Consider the following 23,222-nt stretch of genomic DNA (forward strand, 5'->3'; position numbering starts at 1 on the left):
CTTTTACTCCCTTACCAGTATGTCACCTGGCCAATTCACTAGGTCACTTTCTCTCTGTCTCTGTCTCTGTCTCTCTCTCTGTCTCTGTCTCTCTCTCTCTCTCTCTCTCTGTCTTTCTCTTTCATTGTTTTCTACCTGGCCCTGTTCTATCCCAACATAAAGGCAATAATTTGTTACCTCATTAATGGATCTGTCCTTTTTCTTTTCAAACTCTTCCTTAACGTTAGCCATGAAATCTAGCTGGGGCTGTGCGGTTTCTGATTCCCCCTGGCTTATTCTTTACTTTTTCCCACTTTTCCAGGCTCAGCAGGGAGCTGCTGGATGAGAAAGGGCCTGAAGTCTTGCAGGACTCACTGGATAGATGTTATTCAACTCCTTCAGGTTGTCTTGAACTGACTGACTCATGCCAGCCCTACAGAAGTGCCTTTTACATATTGGAGCAACAGTGTGTTGGCTTGGCTGTTGACATGGATGGTGAGTACCTTTCTATGAAGGTGATAAGGATCCACTGAGTCTTCTGGTTAGGGTCATATTCCTACTGCAAGTGGCCCTTACTGAGCTGAGAGATGTCATTGCCACAGGGAGGACCTATAGGCACATGTAGGTTGAATGAAACTCTAGTTCCACTTGGCAGCCCAGACAAGGGATGGGTCAGTGAGCAAGGCTCTCTCCCTAGTCTCAGGCCATGCCTGTGGCGCCCTAATCCTACTCTCATGACACTGGACCTGGGCAGATGTGACAAATTCACACAACTCTGATTTTGTCTCAATTTTGTAGATCTTGTAGATTTCATCCTTCACTCTAATTTCAGCGTCTAAAATCCTCGCTACCATGAACAATCTGAGTATTTGATGAGACAGGGCTGAATAGTGCAGTTTTTCTCCTAGCAACCATTTGGGGGTATTTGCTTTAAATCGATTGGAAAAATATGGCATAACCATTTGCACAAACTTGGGACAAATGATATTGGGATAACGATCTACCAGAATAGGGAATTTTACCCACAGTTTCTGGGACAAAAACCAAGGAATCTCTATGGTGATCAGCCTTCAGGCCTCCTGAAGAATATCTCTCACAGTGTCCTATTCTCATGCTGAGGAGCCTGAAGTCCCTGTGTGAGGATTAGACAGTGGATTGTTATGTGTGTAGGAGAACCAGCTTCATATGTCTGTCCATGTCTGAACTTATTGCAGAAATTGAAAAGTACCAAGAAGTGGAAGAAGACCAAGACCCATCATGCCCCAGGTAACTTTGAGCAATTATGGATGCTTAATTCTGTGTTGACACCTGGAGATGCCAGGTCCAGGGAAAACAAGAGTGTGTTCAATTTCATGTTTTCAACGAAGGTTGAATTACTCCTACTGACATGGCTGTTGGTTTTCATTGCAGTAGATGTTTAGGTTTCCATTTCTTCCTCCCCTTAACATTTACTAACTTACTATAGGTTGACCATACCTCAAAGGCTGTATGGCAACTGCATGGAATCTTGAGCAAGTTTATGGAAAATTATTGAGCCCACTCTTTTCATGATCACTGTTCGCTGTGTGTCCCGAGGGCACTAACTCAGAGTGTCCTTTGACCCCTTCATCAGTGTGTCACCCGGCCAACTCGCTGAGCTCACTTTCTCCTCTCTCTCTCTCTCTCTCTCCCTCTCCCTGTCTTTCTCTTTCATTCTTTTCTACCTGGCCCTGGTCTATCCCAACATAAAGGCAATAATTCATTACCTCATTAATGGATCTGTCCTTTTTCTTTTTAAACAGTTCCTTATGTTAGCCATGAAATCTAGCTGGGGCTGTGTGGTTTCTGATTCCCCCTGGCTTATTCTTTACTTTTTCCTACTTTTCCAGGCTCAGCAGGGAGCTGCTGGATGAGAAAGAGCCTGAAGTCTTGCAGGACTCACTGGATAGATGTTATTCGACTCCTTCAGGTTATCTTGAACTGCCTGACTTAGGCCAGCCCTACAGCAGTGCTGTTTACTCATTGGAGGAACAGTACCTTGGCTTGGCTCTTGACGTGGACAGTGAGTACCTTACTATGAAGGTGATAAGCCTCCACCTGGTCTTCCAGATAGGGGTGATATTCCTGTTCCAAGTGGCCCTTACTGACCCGAGAGATGTCATTGCCGCAGGCAGGACCTATGGGCGCATATAGGTTGTAATGAAACTGTAGTCTCAGTTGGAAGCCTAGACATGAAATGGGTCAGTGAGCAAGGCTCTATTCCTAGTCTCCAGCCATGCCTGTGGCAACCTGAGCCCGCTCTCAGCACATTGGACCCAGGCAGATGTAAAAAATTCACAGAACTATGATTTGGACTCAAGGGTTTGTGGATTTCCTCCTTCATTCTAATTTCAGTGTCTAAAATTCTTGCATCCATGAACGAGCTGGGCATTTGATGAGACAGGGCTGAATACTGCAGTTTTCCTCCTAGAAATCATCTGGGGCATTTTCTTTGAACTGATGGGAACAATAAGGCATAACTGTTTGCACAAACTTGGGATAAGTGATTTTGGGATAACGATCTACCAGAATGGGGATATTTCACCCTTGGTTCTGAGATGCAAACCAAAGAATATCATGACCAGCTTTCAGGCCTCCTGAAGTATATCTCTCACATTGTCCTGTTCTCATGCTGAGGAGCCTGAGATCCCTGTGTGGGGATTAGACAGTGGACTGTTATGGGTGTAGGTGAATTGGCTTATTTTGTCTGTCCCTGTCTGAATGTATTGCAGGAATTAAAAAGGACCAAGAAGAGGAAGAAGACCAAGGCCCACCATGCCCCAGGTAACTGAGCAGTTGTGAACAGCTACTTCTGTGTTGACATCTGGAGACTCCTGGTTCAGGGAAAACAGAGCGGGCTGACATTATCGATTACATCTTTTCAAGCAAGCCTGAATTATTCCTACTAACATTGCTGTTGGTTTTCATTGCAGTAGATATTTAGGTTTCCATTTCTTCCTCCCCTTATCATTTACTAACCTACTGTAGGTGGACCAGACTTCAAAAACTGTATTCTCATGGCGACTGCGTGGAAACTTGAGCACATTTTATGGAAAATTATTGAGCACAGTCTTTTCATGATCACTGTATGCTGTGTGTCCTGAGGGCACTAACTCAGAGTGTCCTGTTACTCCCTCATCAGTGTGTCACCTGGACAATTCACTGAGCTCGTTCTCTCTCTCTCTCTGTGTGTGTGTGTGTGTGTGTGTGTGTGTGTGTGTGTGTGTGTGTGTCTATCTGTCTTTCTCTTTCATTCTTTTCCATTTGGCCCTGTTCTGTCCCAACATGAAGGCAATAATTTGTTACCTCATTAATGGATCTATCCTTTTAGTTTCTTAACCACTTCCCTATGCTACCCATGAAACCTAGTTGGGGCTCTGTTGTGTGTGATTTCCCCTGGCTTATTCTTTACTTTTTCCTCCTTTTCCAGGCTCAGCAGGGAGCTGCTGGAGGTAGTAGAGCCTGAAGTCTTGCAGGACTCACTGGATAGATGTTATTCAACTCCTTCCAGTTGTCTTGAACAGCCTGACTCCTGCCAGCCCTATGGAAGTTCCTTTTATGCATTGGAGGAAAAACATGTTGGCTTTTCTCTTGACGTGGGAGGTGAGTACCTTTCTATGAAGGTGATAAGCATCCACTGAGTCTTCCATATAAAGATCATATTCCTGCTCCAAGTGGCCATTACTGAGCTGAGAGATGTCATTGCCGCAGTGAGGACCTATAGGCACATGTAGGTTGAATGAAACTCTAGTTCTACCTGGAAGCCCAGACATGGGATGGGTCAGTGAGCATGGCTCTCTTCCTAGTCTCAGGCCATACCTGTGGCACTCTGATTCTACTCTCATGACATTGGACCTGGGCAGATGTGACAAATTCAGAGAACTATGATTTTGACTCAAGGGTTTGCAGATTTCCTTTTTCACTCTAATTTCAGTGTCTAAAGTCCTCACAACCATGAACAATCTGAGTATTTGATGAGACAGGGCTAAATATTGCAGTTTTTCTCCCAGAAATCATTTGAGGGTATTTGCTTTAAATTGATTGGAAAAATATGGCATAACTGTTTGCACAAACTTGGGACAAATGATATTGGGATAACGATCTACTAGAATAGGGACATTTTACCCACAGTTTCTGGGAGAAAAACCGAGGAATTTCTATCATGACCAGCCTTCAGGCCTCCTGAAATATATCTCTCACAGTGTCCTATTCTTATGCTGAGGAGCCTGAGGTCCCTGTGTGAGGATTAGACAGTGGATTGTTATGTGTGTAGGGGAATCAGCTTAATGTGTCTGTCCATGTCTGAATTTATTGCAGAAATTGAAAAGAAGGGGAAGGGGAAGAAAAGAAGGGGAAGAAGATCAAAGAAGGAAAGAAGAAGGGGAAGAAAAGAAGGGGAAGAAGATCAAAACCCACCATGCCCCAGGTGACTTTCAGCAATTGTGGATGCTTAATTCTGTGTTAACACCTGGAGGCAACAGATTCAGGGAAACCAGAGTGTGTTTGATGTCATGTTTTCAACGAAGGCTGAATTACTCCTACTGTCATTGCTGTTGGTTTTCATTGCAGTAGATGTTTAGGTTTCCATTTCTTCCTCCCCTTATCATTTACTAACGTACCATAGGTTGACCATACTTCAAAAGCTGTACTCTCATGGCCACTGCATCGAATTTTGAGCATATTTTATGGAAAACTATTGAGCTCACTCTTTTCATGATCACAGTTTGCTGTGTGTCATGAGGGCACTAACTCAGAGTGTCCTTTTACTCCCTTACCAGTATGTCACCTGGCCAATTCACTAGGTCACTTTCTCTCTGTCTCTGTCTCTGTCTCTCTCTCTGTCTCTGTCTCTCTCTCTCTCTCTGTCTTTCTCTTTCATTGTTTTCTACCTGGCCCTGTTCTATCCCAACATAAAGGCAATAATTTGTTACCTCATTAATGGATCTGTCCTTTTTCTTTTCAAACTCTTCCTTAACGTTAGCCATGAAATCTAGCTGGGGCTGTGTGGTTTCTGATTCCCCCTGGCTTATTCTTTACTTTTTCCCACTTTTCCAGGCTCAGCAGGGAGCTGCTGGATGAGAAAGGGCCTGAAGTCTTGCAGGACTCACTGGATAGATGTTATTCAACTCCTTCAGGTTGTCTTGAACTGACTGACTCATGCCAGCCCTACAGAAGTGCCTTTTACATATTGGAGCAACAGTGTGTTGGCTTGGCTGTTGACATGGATGGTGAGTACCTTTCTATGAAGGTGATAAGGATCCACTGAGTCTTCTGGTTAGGGTCATATTCCTACTGCAAGTGGCCCTTACTGAGCTGAGAGATGTCATTGCCACAGGGAGGACCTATAGGCACATGTAGGTTGAATGAAACTCTAGTTCCACTTGGCAGCCCAGACAAGGGATGGGTCAGTGAGCAAGGCTCTCTCCCTAGTCTCAGGCCATGCCTGTGGCGCCCTAATCCTACTCTCATGACATTGGACCTGGGCAGATGTGACAAATTCACACAACTCTGATTTTGTCTCAATTTTGTAGATCTTGTAGATTTCATCCTTCACTCTAATTTCAGCGTCTAAAATCCTCGCTACCATGAACAATCTGAGTATTTGATGAGACAGGGCTGAATAGTGCAGTTTTTCTCCTAGCAACCATTTGGGGGTATTTGCTTTAAATCGATTGGAAAAATATGGCATAACCATTTGCACAAACTTGGGACAAATGATATTGGGATAACGATCTACCAGAATAGGGAATTTTACCCACAGTTTCTGGGACAAAAACCAAGGAATCTCTATGGTGATCAGCCTTCAGGCCTCCTGAAGAATATCTCTCACAGTGTCCTATTCTCATGCTGAGGAGCCTGAAGTCCCTGTGTGAGGATTAGACAGTGGATTGTTATGTGTGTAGGAGAACCAGCTTCATATGTCTGTCCATGTCTGAACTTATTGCAGAAATTGAAAAGTACCAAGAAGTGGAAGAAGACCAAGACCCATCATGCCCCAGGTAACTTTGAGCAATTATGGATGCTTAATTCTGTGTTGACACCTGGAGATGCCAGGTCCAGGGAAAACAAGAGTGTGTTCAATTTCATGTTTTCAACGAAGGTTGAATTACTCCTACTGACATGGCTGTTGGTTTTCATTGCAGTAGATGTTTAGGTTTCCATTTCTTCCTCCCCTTAACATTTACTAACTTACTATAGGTTGACCATACCTCAAAGGCTGTATGGCAACTGCATGGAATCTTGAGCAAGTTTATGGAAAATTATTGAGCCCACTCTTTTCATGATCACTGTTCGCTGTGTGTCCCGAGGGCACTAACTCAGAGTGTCCTTTGACCCCTTCATCAGTGTGTCACCCGGCCAACTCGCTGAGCTCACTTTCTCCTCTCTCTCTCTCTCTCTCCCTCTCCCTGTCTTTCTCTTTCATTCTTTTCTACCTGGCCCTGGTCTATCCCAACATAAAGGCAATAATTCATTACCTCATTAATGGATCTGTCCTTTTTCTTTTTAAACAGTTCCTTATGTTAGCCATGAAATCTAGCTGGGGCTGTGTGGTTTCTGATTCCCCCTGGCTTATTCTTTACTTTTTCCTACTTTTCCAGGCTCAGCAGGGAGCTGCTGGATGAGAAAGAGCCTGAAGTCTTGCAGGACTCACTGGATAGATGTTATTCGACTCCTTCAGGTTATCTTGAACTGCCTGACTTAGGCCAGCCCTACAGCAGTGCTGTTTACTCATTGGAGGAACAGTACCTTGGCTTGGCTCTTGACGTGGACAGTGAGTACCTTACTATGAAGGTGATAAGCCTCCACCTGGTCTTCCAGATAGGGGTGATATTCCTGTTCCAAGTGGCCCTTACTGACCCGAGAGATGTCATTGCCGCAGGCAGGACCTATGGGCGCATATAGGTTGTAATGAAACTGTAGTCTCAGTTGGAAGCCTAGACATGAAATGGGTCAGTGAGCAAGGCTCTATTCCTAGTCTCCAGCCATGCCTGTGGCAACCTGAGCCCGCTCTCAGCACATTGGACCCAGGCAGATGCAAAAAATTCACAGAACTATGATTTGGACTCAAGGGTTTGTGGATTTCCTCCTTCATTCTAATTTCAGTGTCTAAAATTCTTGCATCCATGAACGAGCTGGGCATTTGATGAGACAGGGCTGAATACTGCAGTTTTCCTCCTAGAAATCATCTGGGGCATTTTCTTTGAACTGATGGGAACAATAAGGCATAACTGTTTGCACAAACTTGGGATAAGTGATTTTGGGATAACGATCTACCAGAATGGGGATATTTCACCCTTGGTTCTGAGATGCAAACCAAAGAATATCATGACCAGCTTTCAGGCCTCCTGAAGTATATCTCTCACATTGTCCTGTTCTCATGCTGAGGAGCCTGAGATCCCTGTGTGGGGATTAGACAGTGGACTGTTATGGGTGTAGGTGAATTGGCTTATTTTGTCTGTCCCTGTCTGAATGTATTGCAGGAATTAAAAAGGACCAAGAAGAGGAAGAAGACCAAGGCCCACCATGCCCCAGGTAACTGAGCAATTGTGAACAGCTACTTCTGTGTTGACATCTGGAGACTCCTGGTTCAGGGAAAACAGAGCGGGCTGACATTATCGATTACATCTTTTCAAGCAAGCCTGAATTATTCCTACTAACATTGCTGTTGGTTTTCATTGCAGTAGATATTTAGGTTTCCATTTCTTCCTCCCCTTATCATTTACTAACCTACTGTACGTGGACCAGACTTCAAAAACTGTATTCTCATGGCGACTGCGTGGAAACTTGAGCACATTTTATGGAAAATTATTGAGCACAGTCTTTTCATGATCACTGTATGCTGTGTGTCCTGAGGGCACTAACTCAGAGTGTCCTGTTACTCCCTCATCAGTGTGTCACCTGGACAATTCACTGAGCTCGTTCTCTCTCTCTGTGTGTGTGTGTGTGTGTGTGTGTGTGTGTCTATCTGTCTTTCTCTTTCATTCTTTTCCATTTGGCCCTGTTCTGTCCCAACATGAAGGCAATAATTTGTTACCTCATTAATGGATCTATCCTTTTAGTTTCTTAACCACTTCCCTATGCTACCCATGAAACCTAGTTGGGGCTCTGTTGTGTGTGATTTCCCCTGGCTTATTCTTTACTTTTTCCTCCTTTTCCAGGCTCAGCAGGGAGCTGCTGGAGGTAGTAGAGCCTGAAGTCTTGCAGGACTCACTGGATAGATGTTATTCAACTCCTTCCAGTTGTCTTGAACAGCCTGACTCCTGCCAGCCCTATGGAAGTTCCTTTTATGCATTGGAGGAAAAACATGTTGGCTTTTCTCTTGACGTGGGAGGTGAGTACCTTTCTATGAAGGTGATAAGCATCCACTGAGTCTTCCATATAAAGATCATATTCCTGCTCCAAGTGGCCATTACTGAGCTGAGAGATGTCGTTGCCGCAGTGAGGACCTATAGGCACATGTAGGTTGAATGAAACTCTAGTTCTACCTGGAAGCCCAGACAAGGGATGGGTCAGTGAGCAAGACTCTCTTCCTAGTCTCAGGCCATACCTGTGGCGCCCTGATCCTATTCTCATGACATTGGACCTGGGCAGATGTGACAAATTCAGAGAACTATGATTTTGACTCAAGGGTTTGTAGATTTCCTTTTTCACTCTAATTTCAGTGTCTAAAGTCCTCACAACCATGAACAATCTGAGTATTTGATGAGACAGGGCTAAATATTGCAGTTTTTCTCCTAGAAATCATTTGAGGGTATTTGCTTTAAATTGATTGGAAAAATATGGCATAACTGTTTGCACAAACTTGGGACAAATGATATTGGGATAACGATCTACTAGAATAGGGACATTTTACCCACAGTTTCTGGGAGAAAAACCGAGGAATTTCTATCATGACCAGCCTTCAGGCCTCCTGAAATATATCTCTCACAGTGTCCTATTCTTATGCTGAGGAGCCTGAGGTCCCTGTGTGAGGATTAGACAGTGGATTGTTATGTGTGTAGGGGAATCAGCTTAATGTGTCTGTCCATGTCTGAATTTATTGCAGAAATTGAAAAGAAGGGGAAGGGGAAGAAAAGAAGGGGAAGAAGATCAAAGAAGGAAAGAAGAAGGGGAAGAAAAGAAGGGGAAGAAGATCAAAACCCACCATGCCCCAGGTGACTTTCAGCAATTGTGGATGCTTAATTCTGTGTTAACACCTGGAGGCAACAGATTCAGGGAAACCAGAGTGTGTTTGATGTCATGTTTTCAACGAAGGCTGAATTACTCCTACTGTCATTGCTGTTGGTTTTCATTGCAGTAGATGTTTAGGTTTCCATTTCTTCCTCCCCTTATCATTTACTAACGTACCATAGGTTGACCATACTTCAAAAGCTGTACTCTCATGGCCACTGCATCGAATTTTGAGCATATTTTATGGAAAACTATTGAGCTCACTCTTTTCATGATCACAGTTTGCTGTGTGTCATGAGGGCACTAACTCAGAGTGTCCTTTTACTCCCTTACCAGTATGTCACCTGGCCAATTCACTAGGTCACTTTCTCTCTGTCTCTGTCTCTGTCTCTCTCTCTGTCTCTGTCTCTCTCTCTCTCTCTGTCTTTCTCTTTCATTGTTTTCTACCTGGCCCTGTTCTATCCCAACATAAAGGCAATAATTTGTTACCTCATTAATGGATCTGTCCTTTTTCTTTTCAAACTCTTCCTTAACGTTAGCCATGAAATCTAGCTGGGGCTGTGTGGTTTCTGATTCCCCCTGGCTTATTCTTTACTTTTTCCCACTTTTCCAGGCTCAGCAGGGAGCTGCTGGATGAGAAAGGGCCTGAAGTCTTGCAGGACTCACTGGATAGATGTTATTCAACTCCTTCAGGTTGTCTTGAACTGACTGACTCATGCCAGCCCTACAGAAGTGCCTTTTACATATTGGAGCAACAGTGTGTTGGCTTGGCTGTTGACATGGATGGTGAGTACCTTTCTATGAAGGTGATAAGGATCCACTGAGTCTTCTGGTTAGGGTCATATTCCTACTGCAAGTGGCCCTTACTGAGCTGAGAGATGTCATTGCCACAGGGAGGACCTATAGGCACATGTAGGTTGAATGAAACTCTAGTTCCACTTGGCAGCCCAGACAAGGGATGGGTCAGTGAGCAAGGCTCTCTCCCTAGTCTCAGGCCATGCCTGTGGAGCCCTAATCCTACTCTCATGACACTGGACCTGGGCAGATGTGACAAATTCACACAACTCTGATTTTGTCTCAATTTTGTAGATCTTGTAGATTTCATCCTTCACTCTAATTTCAGCGTCTAAAATCCTCGCTACCATGAACAATCTGAGTATTTGATGAGACAGGGCTGAATAGTGCAGTTTTTCTCCTAGCAACCATTTGGGGGTATTTGCTTTAAATCGATTGGAAAAATATGGCATAACCATTTGCACAAACTTGGGACAAATGATATTGGGATAACGATCTACCAGAATAGGGAATTTTACCCACAGTTTCTGGGACAAAAACCAAGGAATCTCTATGGTGATCAGCCTTCAGGCCTCCTGAAGAATATCTCTCACAGTGTCCTATTCTCATGCTGAGGAGCCTGAAGTCCCTGTGTGAGGATTAGACAGTGGATTGTTATGTGTGTAGGAGAACCAGCTTCATATGTCTGTCCATGTCTGAACTTATTGCAGAAATTGAAAAGTACCAAGAAGTGGAAGAAGACCAAGACCCATCATGCCCCAGGTAACTTTGAGCAATTATGGATGCTTAATTCTGTGTTGACACCTGGAGATGCCAGGTCCAGGGAAAACAAGAGTGTGTTCAATTTCATGTTTTCAACGAAGGTTGAATTACTCCTACTGACATGGCTGTTGGTTTTCATTGCAGTAGATGTTTAGGTTTCCATTTCTTCCTCCCCTTAACATTTACTAACTTACTATAGGTTGACCATACCTCAAAGGCTGTATGGCAACTGCATGGAATCTTGAGCAAGTTTATGGAAAATTATTGAGCCCACTCTTTTCATGATCACTGTTCGCTGTGTGTCCCGAGGGCACTAACTCAGAGTGTCCTTTGACCCCTTCATCAGTGTGTCACCCGGCCAACTCGCTGAGCTCACTTTCTCCTCTCTCTCTCTCTCTCTCTCCCTCTCCCTGTCTTTCTCTTTCATTCTTTTCTACCTGGCCCTGGTCTATCCCAACATAAAGGCAATAATTCATTACCTCATTAATGGATCTGTCCTTTTTCTTTTTAAACAGTTCCTTATGTTAGCCATGAAATCTAGCTGGGGCTGTGTGGTTTCTGATTCCCCCTGGCTTATTCTTTACTTTTTCCTACTTTTCCAGGCTCAGCAGGGAGCTGCTGGATGAGAAAGAGCCTGAAGTCTTGCAGGACTCACTGGATAGATGTTATTCGACTCCTTCAGGTTATCTTGAACTGCCTGACTTAGGCCAGCCCTACAGCAGTGCTGTTTACTCATTGGAGGAACAGTACCTTGGCTTGGCTCTTGACGTGGACAGTGAGTACCTTACTATGAAGGTGATAAGCCTCCACCTGGTCTTCCAGATAGGGGTGATATTCCTGTTCCAAGTGGCCCTTACTGACCCGAGAGATGTCATTGCCGCAGGCAGGACCTATGGGCGCATATAGGTTGTAATGAAACTGTAGTCTCAGTTGGAAGCCTAGACATGAAATGGGTCAGTGAGCAAGGCTCTATTCCTAGTCTCCAGCCATGCCTGTGGCAACCTGAGCCCGCTCTCAGCACATTGGACCCAGGCAGATGTAAAAAATTCACAGAACTATGATTTGGACTCAAGGGTTTGTGGATTTCCTCCTTCATTCTAATTTCAGTGTCTAAAATTCTTGCATCCATGAACGAGCTGGGCATTTGATGAGACAGGGCTGAATACTGCAGTTTTCCTCCTAGAAATCATCTGGGGCATTTTCTTTGAACTGATGGGAACAATAAGGCATAACTGTTTGCACAAACTTGGGATAAGTGATTTTGGGATAACGATCTACCAGAATGGGGATATTTCACCCTTGGTTCTGAGATGCAAACCAAAGAATATCATGACCAGCTTTCAGGCCTCCTGAAGTATATCTCTCACATTGTCCTGTTCTCATGCTGAGGAGCCTGAGATCCCTGTGTGGGGATTAGACAGTGGACTGTTATGGGTGTAGGTGAATTGGCTTATTTTGTCTGTCCCTGTCTGAATGTATTGCAGGAATTAAAAAGGACCAAGAAGAGGAAGAAGACCAAGGCCCACCATGCCCCAGGTAACTGAGCAGTTGTGAACAGCTACTTCTGTGTTGACATCTGGAGACTCCTGGTTCAGGGAAAACAGAGCGGGCTGACATTATCGATTACATCTTTTCAAGCAAGCCTGAATTATTCCTACTAACATTGCTGTTGGTTTTCATTGCAGTAGATATTTAGGTTTCCATTTCTTCCTCCCCTTATCATTTACTAACCTACTGTAGGTGGACCAGACTTCAAAAACTGTATTCTCATGGCGACTGCGTGGAAACTTGAGCACATTTTATGGAAAATTATTGAGCACAGTCTTTTCATGATCACTGTATGCTGTGTGTCCTGAGGGCACTAACTCAGAGTGTCCTGTTACTCCCTCATCAGTGTGTCACCTGGACAATTCACTGAGCTCGTTCTCTCTCTCTCTCTGTGTGTGTGTGTGTGTGTGTGTGTGTGTGTGTGTGTGTGTGTGTGTCTATCTGTCTTTCTCTTTCATTCTTTTCCATTTGGCCCTGTTCTGTCCCAACATGAAGGCAATAATTTGTTACCTCATTAATGGATCTATCCTTTTAGTTTCTTAACCACTTCCCTATGCTACCCATGAAACCTAGTTGGGGCTCTGTTGTGTGTGATTTCCCCTGGCTTATTCTTTACTTTTTCCTCCTTTTCCAGGCTCAGCAGGGAGCTGCTGGAGGTAGTAGAGCCTGAAGTCTTGCAGGACTCACTGGATAGATGTTATTCAACTCCTTCCAGTTGTCTTGAACAGCCTGACTCCTGCCAGCCCTATGGAAGTTCCTTTTATGCATTGGAGGAAAAACATGTTGGCTTTTCTCTTGACGTGGGAGGTGAGTACCTTTCTATGAAGGTGATAAGCATCCACTGAGTCTTCCATATAAAGATCATATTCCTGCTCCAAGTGGCCATTACTGAGCTGAGAGATGTCGTTGCCGCAGTGAGGACCTATAGGCACATGTAGGTTGAATGAAACTCTAGTTCTACCTGGAAGCCCAGACAAGGGATGGGTCAGTGAGCAAGACTCTCTTCCTAGTCTCAGGCCATACCTGTGGCGCCCTGATCCTATTCTCATGACATTGGACCTGGGCAGATGTGACAAATTCAGAGAACTATGATTTTGACTCAAGGGTTTGTAGATTTCCTTTTTCACTCTAATTTCAGTGTCTAAAGTCCTCACAACCATGAACAATCTGAGTATTTGATGAGACAGGGCTAAATATTGCAGTTTTTCTCCTAGAAATCATTTGAGGGTATTTGCTTTAAATTGATTGGAAAAATATGGCATAACTGTTTGCACAAACTTGGGACAAATGATATTGGGATAACGATCTACTAGAATAGGGACATTTTACCCACAGTTTCTGGGAGAAAAACCGAGGAATTTCTATCATGACCAGCCTTCAGGCCTCCTGAAATATATCTCTCACAGTGTCCTATTCTTATGCTGAGGAGCCTGAGGTCCCTGTGTGAGGATTAGACAGTGGATTGTTATGTGTGTAGGGGAATCAGCTTAATGTGTCTGTCCATGTCTGAATTTATTGCAGAAATTGAAAAGAAGGGGAAGGGGAAGAAAAGAAGGGGAAGAAGATCAAAGAAGGAAAGAAGAAGGGGAAGAAAAGAAGGGGAAGAAGATCAAAACCCACCATGCCCCAGGTGACTTTCAGCAATTGTGGATGCTTAATTCTGTGTTAACACCTGGAGGCAACAGATTCAGGGAAACCAGACTGTGTTTGATGTCATGTTTTCAACGAAGGCTGAATTACTCCTACTGTCATTGCTGTTGGTTTTCATTGCAGTAGATGTTTAGGTTTCCATTTCTTCCTCCCCTTATCATTTACTAACGTACCATAGGTTGACCATACTTCAAAAGCTGTACTCTCATGGCCACTGCATCGAATTTTGAGCATATTTTATGGAAAACTATTGAGCTCACTCTTTTCATGATCACAGTTTGCTGTGTGTCATGAGGGCACTAACTCACAGTGTCCTTTTACTCCCTTACCAGTATGTCACCTGGCCAATTCACTAGGTCACTTTCTCTCTGTCTCTGTCTCTGTCTCTCTCTCTGTCTCTGTCTCTCTCTCTCTCTCTCTCTGTCTTTCTCTTTCATTGTTTTCTACCTGGCCCTGTTCTATCCCAACATAAAGGCAATAATTTGTTACCTCATTAATGGATCTGTCCTTTTTCTTTTCAAACTCTTCCTTAACGTTAGCCATGAAATCTAGCTGGGGCTGTGTGGTTTCTGATTCCCCCTGGCTTATTCTTTACTTTTTCCCACTTTTCCAGGCTCAGCAGGGAGCTGCTGGATGAGAAAGGGCCTGAAGTCTTGCAGGACTCACTGGATAGATGTTATTCAACTCCTTCAGGTTGTCTTGAACTGACTGACTCATGCCAGCCCTACAGAAGTGCCTTTTACATATTGGAGCAACAGTGTGTTGGCTTGGCTGTTGACATGGATGGTGAGTACCTTTCTATGAAGGTGATAAGGATCCACTGAGTCTTCTGGTTAGGGTCATATTCCTACTGCAAGTGGCCCTTACTGAGCTGAGAGATGTCATTGCCACAGGGAGGACCTATAGGCACATGTAGGTTGAATGAAACTCTAGTTCCACTTGGCAGCCCAGACAAGGGATGGGTCAGTGAGCAAGGCTCTCTCCCTAGTCTCAGGCCATGCCTGTGGAGCCCTAATCCTACTCTCATGACACTGGACCTGGGCAGATGTGACAAATTCACACAACTCTGATTTTGTCTCAATTTTGTAGATCTTGTAGATTTCATCCTTCACTCTAATTTCAGCGTCTAAAATCCTCGCTACCATGAACAATCTGAGTATTTGATGAGACAGGGCTGAATAGTGCAGTTTTTCTCCTAGCAACCATTTGGGGGTATTTGCTTTAAATCGATTGGAAAAATATGGCATAACCATTTGCACAAACTTGGGACAAATGATATTGGGATAACGATCTACCAGAATAGGGAATTTTACCCACAGTTTCTGGGACAAAAACCAAGGAATCTCTATGGTGATCAGCCTTCAGGCCTCCTGAAGAATATCTCTCACAGTGTCCTATTCTCATGCTGAGGAGCCTGAAGTCCCTGTGTGAGGATTAGACAGTGGATTGTTATGTGTGTAGGAGAACCAGCTTCATATGTCTGTCCATGTCTGAACTTATTGCAGAAATTGAAAAGTACCAAGAAGTGGAAGAAGACCAAGACCCATCATGCCCCAGGTAACTTTGAGCAATTATGGATGCTTAATTCTGTGTTGACACCTGGAGATGCCAGGTCCAGGGAAAACAAGAGTGTGTTCAATTTCATGTTTTCAACGAAGGTTGAATTACTCCTACTGACATGGCTGTTGGTTTTCATTGCAGTAGATGTTTAGGTTTCCATTTCTTCCTCCCCTTAACATTTACTAACTTACTATAGGTTGACCATACCTCAAAGGCTGTATGGCAACTGCATGGAATCTTGAGCAAGTTTATGGAAAATTATTGAGCCCACTCTTTTCATGATCACTGTTCGCTGTGTGTCCCGAGGGCACTAACTCAGAGTGTCCTTTGACCCCTTCATCAGTGTGTCACCCGGCCAACTCGCTGAGCTCACTTTCTCCTCTCTCTCTCTCTCTCTCTCCCTCTCCCTGTCTTTCTCTTTCATTCTTTTCTACCTGGCCCTGGTCTATCCCAACATAAAGGCAATAATTCATTACCTCATTAATGGATCTGTCCTTTTTCTTTTTAAACAGTTCCTTATGTTAGCCATGAAATCTAGCTGGGGCTGTGTGGTTTCTGATTCCCCCTGGCTTATTCTTTACTTTTTCCTACTTTTCCAGGCTCAGCAGGGAGCTGCTGGATGAGAAAGAGCCTGAAGTCTTGCAGGACTCACTGGATAGATGTTATTCGACTCCTTCAGGTTATCTTGAACTGCCTGACTTAGGCCAGCCCTACAGCAGTGCTGTTTACTCATTGGAGGAACAGTACCTTGGCTTGGCTCTTGACGTGGACAGTGAGTACCTTACTATGAAGGTGATAAGCCTCCACCTGGTCTTCCAGATAGGGGTGATATTCCTGTTCCAAGTGGCCCTTACTGACCCGAGAGATGTCATTGCCGCAGGCAGGACCTATGGGCGCATATAGGTTGTAATGAAACTGTAGTCTCAGTTGGAAGCCTAGACATGAAATGGGTCAGTGAGCAAGGCTCTATTCCTAGTCTCCAGCCATGCCTGTGGCAACCTGAGCCCGCTCTCAGCACATTGGACCCAGGCAGATGTAAAAAATTCACAGAACTATGATTTGGACTCAAGGGTTTGTGGATTTCCTCCTTCATTCTAATTTCAGTGTCTAAAATTCTTGCATCCATGAACGAGCTGGGCATTTGATGAGACAGGGCTGAATACTGCAGTTTTCCTCCTAGAAATCATCTGGGGCATTTTCTTTGAACTGATGGGAACAATAAGGCATAACTGTTTGCACAAACTTGGGATAAGTGATTTTGGGATAACGATCTACCAGAATGGGGATATTTCACCCTTGGTTCTGAGATGCAAACCAAAGAATATCATGACCAGCTTTCAGGCCTCCTGAAGTATATCTCTCACATTGTCCTGTTCTCATGCTGAGGAGCCTGAGATCCCTGTGTGGGGATTAGACAGTGGACTGTTATGGGTGTAGGTGAATTGGCTTATTTTGTCTGTCCCTGTCTGAATGTATTGCAGGAATTAAAAAGGACCAAGAAGAGGAAGAAGACCAAGGCCCACCATGCCCCAGGTAACTGAGCAATTGTGAACAGCTACTTCTGTGTTGACATCTGGAGACTCCTGGTTCAGGGAAAACAGAGCGGGCTGACATTATCGATTACATCTTTTCAAGCAAGCCTGAATTATTCCTACTAACATTGCTGTTGGTTTTCATTGCAGTAGATATTTAGGTTTCCATTTCTTCCTCCCCTTATCATTTACTAACCTACTGTAGGTGGACCAGACTTCAAAAACTGTATTCTCATGGCGACTGCGTGGAAACTTGAGCACATTTTATGGAAAATTATTGAGCACAGTCTTTTCATGATCACTGTATGCTGTGTGTCCTGAGGGCACTAACTCAGAGTGTCCTGTTACTCCCTCATCAGTGTGTCACCTGGACAATTCACTGAGCTCGTTCTCTCTCTCTCTCTGTGTGTGTGTGTGTGTGTGTGTGTGTGTGTGTGTGTGTGTGTCTATCTGTCTTTCTCTTTCATTCTTTTCCATTTGGCCCTGTTCTGTCCCAACATGAAGGCAATAATTTGTTACCTCATTAATGGATCTATCCTTTTAGTTTCTTAACCACTTCCCTATGCTACCCATGAAACCTAGTTGGGGCTCTGTTGTGTGTGATTTCCCCTGGCTTATTCTTTACTTTTTCCTCCTTTTCCAGGCTCAGCAGGGAGCTGCTGGAGGTAGTAGAGCCTGAAGTCTTGCAGGACTCACTGGATAGATGTTATTCAACTCCTTCCAGTTGTCTTGAACAGCCTGACTCCTGCCAGCCCTATGGAAGTTCCTTTTATGCATTGGAGGAAAAACATGTTGGCTTTTCTCTTGACGTGGGAGGTGAGTACCTTTCTATGAAGGTGATAAGCATCCACTGAGTCTTCCATATAAAGATCATATTCCTGCTCCAAGTGGCCATTACTGAGCTGAGAGATGTCATTGCCGCAGTGAGGACCTATAGGCACATGTAGGTTGAATGAAACTCTAGTTCTACCTGGAAGCCCAGACATGGGATGGGTCAGTGAGCATGGCTCTCTTCCTAGTCTCAGGCCATACCTGTGGCACTCTGATTCTACTCTCATGACATTGGACCTGGGCAGATGTGACAAATTCAGAGAACTATGATTTTGACTCAAGGGTTTGCAGATTTCCTTTTTCACTCTAATTTCAGTGTCTAAAGTCCTCACAACCATGAACAATCTGAGTATTTGATGAGACAGGGCTAAATATTGCAGTTTTTCTCCCAGAAATCATTTGAGGGTATTTGCTTTAAATTGATTGGAAAAATATGGCATAACTGTTTGCACAAACTTGGGACAAATGATATTGGGATAACGATCTACTAGAATAGGGACATTTTACCCACAGTTTCTGGGAGAAAAACCGAGGAATTTCTATCATGACCAGCCTTCAGGCCTCCTGAAATATATCTCTCACAGTGTCCTATTCTTATGCTGAGGAGCCTGAGGTCCCTGTGTGAGGATTAGACAGTGGATTGTTATGTGTGTAGGGGAATCAGCTTAATGTGTCTGTCCATGTCTGAATTTATTGCAGAAATTGAAAAGAAGGGGAAGGGGAAGAAAAGAAGGGGAAGAAGATCAAAGAAGGAAAGAAGAAGGGGAAGAAAAGAAGGGGAAGAAGATCAAAACCCACCATGCCCCAGGTGACTTTCAGCAATTGTGGATGCTTAATTCTGTGTTAACACCTGGAGGCAACAGATTCAGAGAAACCAGACTGTGTTTGATGTCATGTTTTCAACGAAGGCTGAATTACTCCTACTGTCATTGCTGTTGGTTTTCATTGCAGTAGATGTTTAGGTTTCCATTTCTTCCTCCCCTTATCATTTACTAACGTACCATAGGTTGACCATACTTCAAAAGCTGTACTCTCATGGCCACTGCATCGAATTTTGAGCATATTTTATGGAAAACTATTGAGCTCACTCTTTTCATGATCACAGTTTGCTGTGTGTCATGAGGGCACTAACTCACAGTGTCCTTTTACTCCCTTACCAGTATGTCACCTGGCCAATTCACTAGGTCACTTTCTCTCTGTCTCTGTCTCTGTCTCTCTCTCTGTCTCTGTCTCTCTCTCTCTCTCTGTCTTTCTCTTTCATTGTTTTCTACCTGGCCCTGTTCTATCCCAACATAAAGGCAATAATTTGTTACCTCATTAATGGATCTGTCCTTTTTCTTTTCAAACTCTTCCTTAACGTTAGCCATGAAATCTAGCTGGGGCTGTGTGGTTTCTGATTCCCCCTGGCTTATTCTTTACTTTTTCCCACTTTTCCAGGCTCAGCAGGGAGCTGCTGGATGAGAAAGGGCCTGAAGTCTTGCAGGACTCACTGGATAGATGTTATTCAACTCCTTCAGGTTGTCTTGAACTGACTGACTCATGCCAGCCCTACAGAAGTGCCTTTTACATATTGGAGCAACAGTGTGTTGGCTTGGCTGTTGACATGGATGGTGAGTACCTTTCTATGAAGGTGATAAGGATCCACTGAGTCTTCTGGTTAGGGTCATATTCCTACTGCAAGTGGCCCTTACTGAGCTGAGAGATGTCATTGCCACAGGGAGGACCTATAGGCACATGTAGGTTGAATGAAACTCTAGTTCCACTTGGCAGCCCAGACAAGGGATGGGTCAGTGAGCAAGGCTCTCTCCCTAGTCTCAGGCCATGCCTGTGGAGCCCTAATCCTACTCTCATGACACTGGACCTGGGCAGATGTGACAAATTCACACAACTCTGATTTTGTCTCAATTTTGTAGATCTTGTAGATTTCATCCTTCACTCTAATTTCAGCGTCTAAAATCCTCGCTACCATGAACAATCTGAGTATTTGATGAGACAGGGCTGAATAGTGCAGTTTTTCTCCTAGCAACCATTTGGGGGTATTTGCTTTAAATCGATTGGAAAAATATGGCATAACCATTTGCACAAACTTGGGACAAATGATATTGGGATAACGATCTACCAGAATAGGGAATTTTACCCACAGTTTCTGGGACAAAAACCAAGGAATCTCTATGGTGATCAGCCTTCAGGCCTCCTGAAGAATATCTCTCACAGTGTCCTATTCTCATGCTGAGGAGCCTGAAGTCCCTGTGTGAGGATTAGACAGTGGATTGTTATGTGTGTAGGAGAACCAGCTTCATATGTCTGTCCATGTCTGAACTTATTGCAGAAATTGAAAAGTACCAAGAAGTGGAAGAAGACCAAGACCCATCATGCCCCAGGTAACTTTGAGCAATTATGGATGCTTAATTCTGTGTTGACACCTGGAGATGCCAGGTCCAGGGAAAACAAGAGTGTGTTCAATTTCATGTTTTCAACGAAGGTTGAATTACTCCTACTGACATGGCTGTTGGTTTTCATTGCAGTAGATGTTTAGGTTTCCATTTCTTCCTCCCCTTAACATTTACTAACTTACTATAGGTTGACCATACCTCAAAGGCTGTATGGCAACTGCATGGAATCTTGAGCAAGTTTATGGAAAATTATTGAGCCCACTCTTTTCATGATCACTGTTCGCTGTGTGTCCCGAGGGCACTAACTCAGAGTGTCCTTTGACCCCTTCATCAGTGTGTCACCCGGCCAACTCGCTGAGCTCACTTTCTCCTCTCTCTCTCTCTCTCTCTCTCTCTCCCTCTCCCTGTCTTTCTCTTTCATTCTTTTCTACCTGGCCCTGGTCTATCCCAACATAAAGGCAATAATTCATTACCTCATTAATGGATCTGTCCTTTTTCTTTTTAAACAGTTCCTTATGTTAGCCATGAAATCTAGCTGGGGCTGTGTGGTTTCTGATTCCCCCTGGCTTATTCTTTACTTTTTCCTACTTTTCCAGGCTCAGCAGGGAGCTGCTGGCTGAGAAAGAGCCTGAAGTCTTGCAGGACCCACTGGATAGATGTTATTCGACTCCTTCAGGTTATCTTGAACTGCCTGACTTAGGCCAGCCCTACAGCAGTGCTGTTTACTCATTGGAGGAACAGTACCTTGGCTTGGCTCTTGACGTGGACAGTGAGTACCTTACTATGAAGGTGATAAGCCTCCACCTGGTCTTCCAGATAGGGGTGATATTCCTGTTCCAAGTGGCCCTTACTGACCCGAGAGATGTCATTGCCGCAGGCAGGACCTATGGGCGCATATAGGTTGTAATGAAACTGTAGTCTCAGTTGGAAGCCTAGACATGAAATGGGTCAGTGAGCAAGGCTCTATTCCTAGTCTCCAGCCATGCCTGTGGCAACCTGAGCCCGCTCTCAGCACATTGGACCCAGGCAGATGTAAAAAATTCACAGAACTATGATTTGGACTCAAGGGTTTGTAGATTTCCTCCTTCATTCTAATTTCAGTGTCTAAAATTCTTACATCCATGAACGAGCTGGGCATTTGATGAGACAGGGCTGAATACTGCAGTTTTCCTCCTAGAAATCATCTGGGGCATTTTCTTTGAACTGATGGGAACAATAAGGCATAACTGTTTGCACAAACTTGGGATAAGTGATTTTGGGATAACGATCTTCCAGAATGGGGATATTTCACCCTTGGTTCTGAGATGCAAACCAAAGAATATCATGACCAGCTTTCAGGCCTCCTGAAGTATATCTCTCACATTGTCCTGTTCTCATGCTGAGGAGCCTGAGATCCCTGTGTGGGGATTAGACAGTGGACTGTTATGGGTGTAGGTGAATTGGCTTATTTTGTCTGTCCCTGTCTGAATGTATTGCAGGAATTAAAAAGGACCAAGAAGAGGAAGAAGACCAAGGCCCACCATGCCCCAGGTAACTGAGCAATTGTGAACAGCTACTTCTGTGTTGACATCTGGAGACTCCTGGTTCAGGGAAAACAGAGCGGGCTGACATTATCGATTACATCTTTTCAAGCAAGCCTGAATTATTCCTACTAACATTGCTGTTGGTTTTCATTGCAGTAGATATTTAGGTTTCCATTTCTTCCTCCCCTTATCATTTACTAACCTACTGTAGGTGGACCAGACTTCAAAAACTGTATTCTCATGGCGACTGCATGGAAACTTGAACACATTTTATGGAAAATTATTGAGCACAGTCTTTTCATGATCACTGTATGCTGTGTGTCCTGAGGGCACTAACTCAGAGTGTCCTGTTACTCCCTCATCAGTGTGTCACCTGGACAATTCACTGAGCTCGTTCTCTCTCTCTCTGTGTGTGTGTCTGTGTGTGTGTGTGTGTCTATCTGTCTTTCTCTTTCATTCTTTTCCATTTGGCCCTGTTCTGTCCCAACATGAAGGCAATAATTTGTTACCTCATTAATGGATCTATCCTTTTACTTTCTTAACCACTTCCTTATGCTACCCATGAAACCTAGTTGGGGCTCTGTTGTGTGTGATTTCCCCTGGCTTATTCTTTACTTTTTCCTCCTTTTCCAGGCTCAGCAGGGAGCTGCTGGAGGTAGTAGAGCCTGAAGTCTTGCAGGACTCACTGGATAGATGTTATTCAACTCCTTCCAGTTGTCTTGAACAGCCTGACTCCTGCCAGCCCTATGGAAGTTCCTTTTATGCATTGGAGGAAAAACATGTTGGCTTTTCTCTTGACGTGGGAGGTGAGTACCTTTCTATGAAGGTGATAAGCATCCACTGAGTCTTCCATATAAAGATCATATTCCTGCTCCAAGTGGCCATTACTGAGCTGAGAGATGTCATTGCCGCAGTGAGGACCTATAGGCACATGTAGGTTGAATGAAACTCTAGTTCTACCTGGAAGCCCAGACATGGGATGGGTCAGTGAGCATGGCTCTCTTCCTAGTCTCAGGCCATACCTGTGGCACTCTGATTCTACTCTCATGACATTGGACCTGGGCAGATGTGACAAATTCAGAGAACTATGATTTTGACTCAAGGGTTTGCAGATTTCCTTTTTCACTCTAATTTCAGTGTCTAAAGTCCTCACAACCATGAACAATCTGAGTATTTGATGAGACAGGGCTAAATATTGCAGTTTTTCTCCCAGAAATCATTTGAGGGTATTTGCTTTAAATTGATTGGAAAAATATGGCATAACTGTTTGCACAAACTTGGGACAAATGATATTGGGATAACGATCTACTAGAATAGGGACATTTTACCCACAGTTTCTGGGAGAAAAACCGAGGAATTTCTATCATGACCAGCCTTCAGGCCTCCTGAAATATATCTCTCACAGTGTCCTATTCTTATGCTGAGGAGCCTGAGGTCCCTGTGTGAGGATTAGACAGTGG

The 23,222-nt window shown here is 44.1% G+C and overlaps 1 protein-coding gene across 1 annotated transcript in view; it reads left to right on the plus strand.

Moving 5' to 3' along the window:
• NBPF19 (NBPF member 19) overlaps nt 1-23,222 on the plus strand; it is an 81,317-nt gene that overhangs the window by 45,973 nt on the left and 12,122 nt on the right. The window contains exons 52-80 of the mRNA NM_001351365.2: nt 302-474; nt 1,194-1,245; nt 1,848-2,020; nt 2,730-2,781; nt 3,428-3,600; nt 4,315-4,423; nt 5,053-5,225; nt 5,945-5,996; nt 6,597-6,769; nt 7,479-7,530; nt 8,157-8,329; nt 9,044-9,152; nt 9,782-9,954; nt 10,674-10,725; nt 11,328-11,500; nt 12,210-12,261; nt 12,908-13,080; nt 13,795-13,903; nt 14,537-14,709; nt 15,429-15,480; nt 16,083-16,255; nt 16,965-17,016; nt 17,659-17,831; nt 18,546-18,654; nt 19,284-19,456; nt 20,176-20,227; nt 20,836-21,008; nt 21,718-21,769; nt 22,396-22,568. Coding sequence (NP_001338294.1) covers nt 302-474; nt 1,194-1,245; nt 1,848-2,020; nt 2,730-2,781; nt 3,428-3,600; nt 4,315-4,423; nt 5,053-5,225; nt 5,945-5,996; nt 6,597-6,769; nt 7,479-7,530; nt 8,157-8,329; nt 9,044-9,152; nt 9,782-9,954; nt 10,674-10,725; nt 11,328-11,500; nt 12,210-12,261; nt 12,908-13,080; nt 13,795-13,903; nt 14,537-14,709; nt 15,429-15,480; nt 16,083-16,255; nt 16,965-17,016; nt 17,659-17,831; nt 18,546-18,654; nt 19,284-19,456; nt 20,176-20,227; nt 20,836-21,008; nt 21,718-21,769; nt 22,396-22,568 — 3,551 coding nt within the window. The remainder of the gene's footprint in view (nt 1-301; nt 475-1,193; nt 1,246-1,847; nt 2,021-2,729; nt 2,782-3,427; nt 3,601-4,314; nt 4,424-5,052; nt 5,226-5,944; nt 5,997-6,596; nt 6,770-7,478; nt 7,531-8,156; nt 8,330-9,043; nt 9,153-9,781; nt 9,955-10,673; nt 10,726-11,327; nt 11,501-12,209; nt 12,262-12,907; nt 13,081-13,794; nt 13,904-14,536; nt 14,710-15,428; nt 15,481-16,082; nt 16,256-16,964; nt 17,017-17,658; nt 17,832-18,545; nt 18,655-19,283; nt 19,457-20,175; nt 20,228-20,835; nt 21,009-21,717; nt 21,770-22,395; nt 22,569-23,222) is intronic.

Source organism: Homo sapiens, chromosome 1 (assembly GCF_000001405.40).
Source record: "Homo sapiens chromosome 1, GRCh38.p14 Primary Assembly".
Taxonomy (NCBI): domain Eukaryota; kingdom Metazoa; phylum Chordata; class Mammalia; order Primates; family Hominidae; genus Homo; species Homo sapiens.